At 62.9% G+C, this 7,857-nt stretch overlaps 1 protein-coding gene across 5 annotated transcripts in view; it reads left to right on the top strand.

Moving 5' to 3' along the window:
- BAHCC1 (BAH domain and coiled-coil containing 1) overlaps positions 1–6,514 on the top strand; it is a 70,875-nt gene extending 64,361 nt beyond the window's left edge. For 4 of the 5 annotated variants that reach the window (NM_001291324.3, XM_011525063.3, NM_001377448.1 and 1 more), the window contains 5 exons: positions 460–579; positions 713–889; positions 1,049–2,229; positions 2,923–3,159; positions 3,794–6,514. In NM_001291324.3, coding sequence (NP_001278253.1) covers positions 460–579; positions 713–889; positions 1,049–2,229; positions 2,923–3,159; positions 3,794–4,000 — 1,922 coding nt within the window. In that variant the 3' untranslated portion in view covers positions 4,001–6,514. The remainder of the gene's footprint in view (positions 1–459; positions 580–712; positions 890–1,048; positions 2,230–2,922; positions 3,160–3,793) is intronic. The other variant, XM_047436467.1, reaches the window with a different exon arrangement.
- The last annotated feature ends 1,343 nt before the right edge of the window (positions 6,515–7,857 follow it).

Genomic DNA, 7,857 nt, shown 5'->3' on the forward strand with positions numbered 1-7,857 from the left:
AGAGGGCCCAGCAGGAAGGGGCCCTGAGCACTGCTGCTGGGGGTCACAGAGTACGTCAGGGGGCACCAGCTCCCCTGGGCAAAACCTCCTGACTACAGGCAGGGGCATGTAGGTCCCTAGGGCGAAAGGCTCAAGGGTCCCACAGGCAAGTGGCCAGGTGGGCGGGAGGCGCCTCCAGGCGGGACTCGGCTGGGAGGTGGGCACGTGGGCGTCAGCACGTGTGGGGAGGTCTGGTTCTGGGCTGGGTGGGGTGACGGTGGCATCACATGGGAGGCACTGCAGGAGGTGGAGAGGAGGCCCCCGCTCCTGGGCTGCAGGGCGGCTCCACTGTCTGTGTGGTCAGGGAGCAGAACCCCAGAGCCCTCCCCTCACCCTCCCCACCGGCTTTGGCAGCCCCGCCTCCCTGTTTCGGGCGCCTACTGGGGGTTCCAGCTGCAAGCTCAGGTGTGCCGTCCACAGGGGCCTCCGGTGACGAAGATGAGGACCTGGACTCAGTAGTGGTGGAATTTGACGATGGGGATACAGGCCACATCGCCGTCTCCAACGTCAGGCTGCTGCCCCCTGACTTCAAGATCCAGTGTGAGCCTGGGAGCTGCACGGGGCAGGGCCCTGCCTGGGCTCCACTGTGTCCAGACGGGCTCCCAAGGAAGGGTTGGGGTGGCAGTCACCCCACAGCCATGGCACTGAAGCCCTTGGCCCATGCTATCCACAGGCACAGAGCCCTCTCCAGCCCTGCTAGTGTCTAGCAGCTGCCGGAGGACCAAGAAGGTATCCAGTGAGGCACCCCCGCCTAGTGAAGCCGCCACCCCCAGCCTGTCCCCCAAAGCACAGGACGGCCCCGAAGCTTTGAAGACACCTGGGAAAAAATCCATTAGCAAAGACAAAGCTGGTATTTTACCGGACTTCCCAGAATCCGGATCGGGGAAGGCACCCTCTGGGGGCTGGGGGAACCAGGAGGCCCGTGGGGTAGGCAGGGTCCGGGGAGGGGCAGGTGGAGGCAGCTTTGTGGGCCCAGCTGGGGCTGACTCTGCTGGGCTTTTGCCCTCAGGTAAAGCCGAACTCCTAACCTCAGGTGCCAAATCCCCCACGGGGGCCTCCGACCACTTCCTGGGCCGCCGTGGCAGCCCCTTGCTGAGCTGGTCCGCGGTGGCGCAGACCAAGCGGAAGGCGGTGGCAGCGGCCAGCAAGGGGCCGGGGGTGCTGCAGAACCTCTTCCAGCTCAACGGCAGCAGCAAGAAGCTGCGGGCCCGCGAGGCCCTGTTCCCCGTGCACAGCGTGGCCACACCCATATTTGGCAACGGCTTCCGCGCCGACTCCTTCAGCAGCCTGGCCAGCTCCTACGCGCCCTTCGTCGGGGGGACCGGGCCGGGCCTCCCCAGGGGAGCCCACAAGCTGCTGCGGGCTAAGAAGGCCGAGAGGGTGGAGGCCGAGAAGGGTGGGCGGCGGCGGGCGGGCGGTGAGTTCCTGGTCAAGCTGGACCACGAGGGTGTGACCTCCCCCAAGAACAAGACCTGCAAGGCGTTGCTCATGGGGGACAAGGACTTCAGCCCCAAGCTCGGGCGGCCCCTGCCCAGCCCCAGCTATGTGCACCCGGCCCTTGTGGGCAAGGACAAGAAGGGGCGGGCACCCATCCCCCCGCTGCCCATGGGGCTGGCGCTGCGCAAGTACGCGGGCCAGGCAGAGTTCCCGCTGCCCTACGACAGCGACTGCCACAGCTCCTTCTCGGACGAGGACGAGGACGGGCCGGGGCTGGCGGCCGGCGTGCCCTCCCGCTTCCTCGCCCGCCTGTCCGTGTCCTCTTCCTCCTCTGGCTCGTCCACCTCCTCCTCCTCAGGCTCCGTGTCCACCTCCAGCCTCTGCTCCTCCGACAACGAGGACTCGTCCTACAGCTCAGACGACGAGGACCCGGCTCTGCTGCTGCAGACCTGCCTCACCCACCCCGTGCCCACCCTCCTGGCCCAGCCCGAGGCCCTGCGCTCCAAGGGCAGCGGCCCTCACGCGCATGCCCAGCGCTGCTTCCTGTCCAGGGCCACGGTGGCTGGCACCGGTGCGGGCTCAGGCCCCAGCAGCAGCAGCAAATCCAAGCTCAAGCGCAAAGAGGCCCTGAGCTTCTCCAAAGCCAAAGAGCTCTCCCGGAGGCAGCGGCCGCCCTCCGTGGAAAACCGGCCAAAGATCTCAGCCTTCCTGCCCGCCCGGCAGCTCTGGAAGTGGTCGGGGAATCCCACACAGGTAGGTCCAGCGGGAGGCGGGAGGAGCTCCTGGTTCCCAAGGAAACCGGGGCGGGCTCATGCGCCCCTGCTGCCCTTCCCTCTCCTTTTTCATCTTCCTACTTGATTTCAAGTTAAAAAATGTGGAAAACTCAAGGGAAGAACAAAGACCCATCCATGACCCAGTGAGGCAGCCGCTTCCGCTGGCCCCTCGCTGGAGCCCGTGGCCTGCGTGACAGTAGAAATGGCTTCATGTCGGGCCGGGCCTGAGCTGCACTCCGCATGGTGTGGCCTCACTTTTCCACGTTGATAAGTGGCGTGGCCAGCTGGAGAGCTGTGTATCCCCGCACTCAGATGCCTGCGTCTGTCCTCACCAGGGCACTGCTCGGGGGCGCATGTGGGGCCACTCGTGGGTCTTTTGCCTTCGTAAATAACACTGTGGTGAACGTCTTGTCCACATGTCCCTGTCCCAGATCCAGTGTCCAGACGTCATGATTCCATGTGCGGGCTCCGTGGAGGCGTGGCCCCTGCTCCAGATCCATGGCTGCCATGGCCTTAAGCCGCGGTGCTGCGGCTTCCTGCCCTTGTGGGCGCCCTGCACACTCACACTCAGACTCACACTCACACCCACACCACACCCTCCATGCCTCCTGGCCGCCACCTGTCCCCACAGCCCCCCGGCCTCTCAGAGCCACCCTGCCCATGTCCCCCACAGCGGCGTGGCATGAAGGGGAAGGCCCGGAAGCTGTTCTACAAGGCCATCGTGCGGGGCGAGGAGACCCTGCGTGTCGGGGACTGTGCCGTCTTCCTGTCAGCTGGGCGGCCCAACCTCCCCTACATCGGCCGCATCGAGAGCATGTGGGAGTCGTGGGGCAGCAACATGGTGGTCAAGGTCAAGTGGTTCTACCACCCTGAGGAGACCAAGCTGGGCAAGAGGCAGTGCGACGGCAAGGTGAGGCCCGGACAGGTGTGGGGCCCAGCCCCCCTCGGGGCCCCAGGGAGGGGACACGACAGCAGCCAGCACTGTGCCCCAACACGGAGCACCTGGCCCCACCACACAGCCCCCGCTCAGCAGGTACCACGGCCCTGCAGGGAGCCGCACAGCCCATGGGCATGCCCTAGAGCAGGGCTCCCAGGTCCCTCCCCACAGTGGGGGGCTGTGGCCCACAGCAGTGCTCAGCATCCGGCAGGTCTAGTTCACTCCTGGGATGTGTGGCGGCCCCCACCCCGTGGGCCCTCCCTGCCTCCAGTGCCAGCCTGAGACAGAAATTGCACTCAGCACACCCTCTGCTCCTCTCTGAGAAGAAGCCATTTTCCAGACCATATGACACGTCCATCTTTCAGGGAAATTAGTATTTCTCTGACTCCGACAGCCCCCAGAGGGTCCCCGGCAGGTTCCTCGGCCTCTGGACAGACAGGGCTGCCTGGACCTGGTCCCTGGCAGGTTCCTCGGCCCCGTCTTCCGGCCACACAGAAGTCCATCCGGTGACCCTTACAGAGCATGGGTGGGCGGGTGGTCTTTCCTGGCTGGGCAGGGGCGCACTGGCCAAGGCCGGCCACTGATGCCCCGCGCGCCTTGCCCCCAGAATGCGCTGTACCAGTCCTGCCACGAGGATGAGAACGACGTGCAGACCATCTCCCACAAGTGCCAGGTCGTGGCGCGCGAGCAGTATGAGCAGATGGCCCGGAGCCGCAAGTGCCAGGACCGGCAGGACCTCTACTACCTGGCGGGCACCTACGACCCCACCACCGGGCGCCTGGTGACGGCTGATGGCGTGCCCATCCTATGCTGAGCCGCCCACCGCAGATGCCTCCCACGTGCGCCAGGGACCCTGTGTGCGGAGCCTGGCGTCGGCCAAGCCACCGGGCAGGAGGCAGCCCCGGCCTCCCAAGGGCGCATCTGAGCAAATATGCAAAAGCCCACAGGGCAAGACCCAGGCTTTCTTACGGTTTTCCCTGGAAAGAGCGCTCCAGGTGTCGGAATCCAGTCCCGTCCCATCCTCTGCGGAGGGTCGGGCTGTGGCCCTCATGGGTCCCCGGCCCGCCCCACCCACAGCGCCCTCCGTTTCCCGCACCGGCAGTTCACGGGAGATTTGAATCCAAGCCATATTCCCTAGTACCTCCGACTGTCTCCCACCAGGGAAAGCAGAAATCAGGTGTGTTGTCTATTTATTTCTCTATGTAAATATTGTATTTCTGCGGGGAAATTTTATGGTAAAAAGTGGAAAAGGGTTTTTCCCCATCCGCGTGACAAGGTGTGTGTGAGCGTGTATGTGTGTGCGCGTGTGTGGCGATTTTTGTCCTGGGGTTTCCTTTGGAAATGCACTGTTCTCAGCCCAGCTGGGTTCCAACGGGGGCACCTGGGACGACAGAGGCATCTCGGGGCAGGGGGCAGAGGCCACGGGAGGGTCAGGTGGGACCCTTGACGGCACCCTCTGATCTCTTGGGGGGACGACCGTGTAAGATGAAAGTCGGTCAAGTTTATTTGCTTTCAGTGCATCTCCTAGAAAAGAAGTGTTGGAGCAGGGGGTGGTGATGAGGGGCCCGTGGGGAAAGGATTCAAGAGGCAAAGCCCAGACCAGGGAGTGTGACAACAGCCGTGAGCATCTCACCTGTGTTCAAAACAAGACAAAGACGAACAAATATTTTAAAGTATTGATAAGAAAAAGCAATGTTTGGATTGTATCTGCTGAATCATATTCCAACCTATATCTGATTTCTGTTTCCGGGGCCAGTTGGTCTGAGGCCAAGGAGTCTGGCCTCCACCCAGAGCAGGGAGGGGCTGGCCCCTCGCCCCCCTCACCCTCGCCGCCCTGGCACACTCGGGAAGCAGGGCCCAGCTCTGAGCCCCTCCTCACCCCTGGGGTCCTAACTTTCCTGAAAGTAGTAGGTGCCGTGAGAAGGGGCAGTTTGGCCAGGTTCCTGAACTGGGCAGGGCTCGGGGCCTATGAGGGCAGGTTCACAGTCCCACCAGATTCTCTCCTCACCCCCAAGCAGAATGCATGCAAAAGACACCCCTTTTCCCACCCACCTTATTGGTGCCCCCAAACCCCTGGCCTGCTGCGTAGATGGTGGTGAGGCCAGGCCAGCAGTGCTGTGGCCAGGGGAGAAGAAAATAAAACGCAGGCCCTGCCCTTGGGGAAGGCCCCTTTCTGGGCCCCCTTTTCCACCAGCCAAATCTGCCTGGCCCTCGGACCCCTCTGCCTGCCCCAACCCCTTTGGAGGTTTCTCGGCCTTTTCTGTGCCACTTGGTGGGGCAGATGGCCTGATGGGCTAGTGCTTGGGGCATAGAATGAGGGTCCCCCTGACCACCTGAGCCCAAATCCTGGCCCCAGGTGCAAGCAGCACCCCTCGAGGGCTCTGCCCCAGTATCCCCAGGGAATTCACACCCCTCCCCTTCTCCCACAGCCAAGGACAGACAGGCTGCCTGGACCTGAGCCCAACAGCCTTCAGCCTCAGAAACGCATGGGGGGCCACACACTCCTTATATCCTCCCACACTAAGGTTCCCCTGGCCCCACGGGAGCTTCAGGAAAGCCCCCCAAGTTAGCCACTGCTCTAGGACGAGCTCTGTGTCCCCCACACCACAGGCCTCGAAGCAGGGTGCTGGTGGGTGCCCTGTACCCCAATCCCAGGTCCCCTTGGCCCCCTATTTTTCTCGGGCCCATTGGGGCCTGTTTCTCACCTGCTGGCTGGACCCCCTGAAGGGCCGTTCCCAGAGGCTCCCCAGGAGGCTCAAGGCTGGGGGCTTATGTTGTGGTCGGGGGTCCCCGCCTCCAGCCCCCCGCTCCCACCCCCGAGCCTACCCTTTGTCTCGCATGAGTGCAATATTTCATTCCCGGTGGTTGTCTGGGGAGGTGGTTGGACGAGGTCCTGCTTGAGGCTCGGGGATCAGAACGATGTCAAGTGAAGAAAAATGCACGGGGGCATGCTGAGCCACTGGAGTTCCAGAGAGGGCCGAGGAGGGTGCAGCCACGGAGGTTGGATCCTCTGCTCCGCCGCCTCGTCCTCGTCCCGCTTCTGCTGGGTTCCGCTTTGTCCCTGGTTTTTTCCTTTCTTTTTCTGTGTGCGTGCGAATGGTGCGGCCCCTCCCCTCTCACCGTGGTTAACGTGACGAAGGCACGATTCCTGTAAATGTGTAAACTAAGGGGATGGTTGGATTTTTTTTCAATGTAAACACTAAAAACAAAATGGACAAAAAAACACACAAAGGTTTTATGAACAGCAGACTCTATGTAAAGGCATTTTAGTATCAAATTTTTTATTGATAACTTGCTTAAGAATAAATATATGGACTATTGTACAGGTTTTCGGTGGTCCAGGGTCCTGTGTCCCACGGTACTCCTGGGGGTTCCCCAGGGCTCCGGGGGCTCAGCAGAAGCCTCTCGTTCCCAGAGCTGGGGCTTCTGGGCCAGGCCTCCCCACCGCCCCCTGTGTTGGCCCAAGTGAAGCCCCTCAGGCCAGGAAAGGGTCATGTGACCGGAATGGGCTCAGAGTGGTCTTAGGGGTGGGGTCCCTCCAGGAGGAGGGCCCCTTTCCTGGTTGCTCTCACAGTCCCTGTCCAGCCTGAACCAGTCCAGGGCCAGAGTAGGTTCCACTGGAGAGGACGAAGGGCAAGAGCAGTCTCCGAGCCGCCACGCTGGGCAGGGTCTCAGACGTGAATGACCATCCTGGGAGGGGCGGCCCACGGCCCGGGTGTGGGAACACAGATGAGTGCACCCCCAGCTGGAGAGAGCCCTGTTCATGAGGCTGCAGACCCAGAGGAAGCCGGATGCTTGCAGGGGGTAGGGGACCCTCCTTGTTCCCCCTCTGCCGCCGGGATCTTGGGAAGCTGCATGAAGTCGGTGCACATCTGTCCCAGTGGGCCCTGAGTGCCTGGTCACAGCTGCGTCCAAGGCCAGGAAACATGGTCCTTGGAGGACGGAGTCCCTGAGTCAGCAGTGCCTTCCTGGGCCGGTGAGTGCGGAGAGAGGTGCTCAGGGACCGGCCGTGCCTCAGGCTGCTGTGAGGGCAGGGAGCAGATGAGGCCCTGGCCGGGCCGAGCGCTGAGTAAGGGGGCTGCTGGACCAGGTTTCTGGGTCAGGGGTCCTCTGTGGCAAGAAAGGAAAGACGGGTGAGGCCAGACACTCCCTGTGGGCTCAGGAGACCCTGACTTCAGTGATCTCAGTGACTTTTTTCGGGCAGAATCCAGCCCGGAACAGGGAGGAAGGCCTGCGGCTGTTGCCCCGGTTCCTGGAGCCCTGAGCCAGGACTTGCTGCCGCCTCCTGCCCACTCCAGGAGCTTGCCTGACGGAGCAGGTCGCACGGAGAGGCCACAGGCAGCCGACAGGGACTCTGGGGCAAGAGAGCCGGATGAGGCCCAGGCCGGAGAGGTGACACCTGCCTGGGAAGCCCACAGGAAACCTCTGCCAGCAGGTCTCAGGTTCAAATCCTCCATTCACCCAGCACTGCCTGGTGCCAGCAGTGTACCAAGCAGTGAGCCACAGTGGAAGTGAGCGGCCCACGGCCCCACCTTCATGACAGGCAGATGGGAGAGACCAGAACAGTGGGGCCCAGCAGCTGCACCCGGGGCCACGCAGCTGAGATAACCTCACCCGTGGAACCCCAAGGTCGGCCACCCCCATCTCAGCCAAAAGTGTGGTATCGGGGCT

The sequence above is a fragment of the Homo sapiens genome, chromosome 17, assembly GCF_000001405.40.
Source record: "Homo sapiens chromosome 17, GRCh38.p14 Primary Assembly".
NCBI classification, from domain to species: domain Eukaryota; kingdom Metazoa; phylum Chordata; class Mammalia; order Primates; family Hominidae; genus Homo; species Homo sapiens.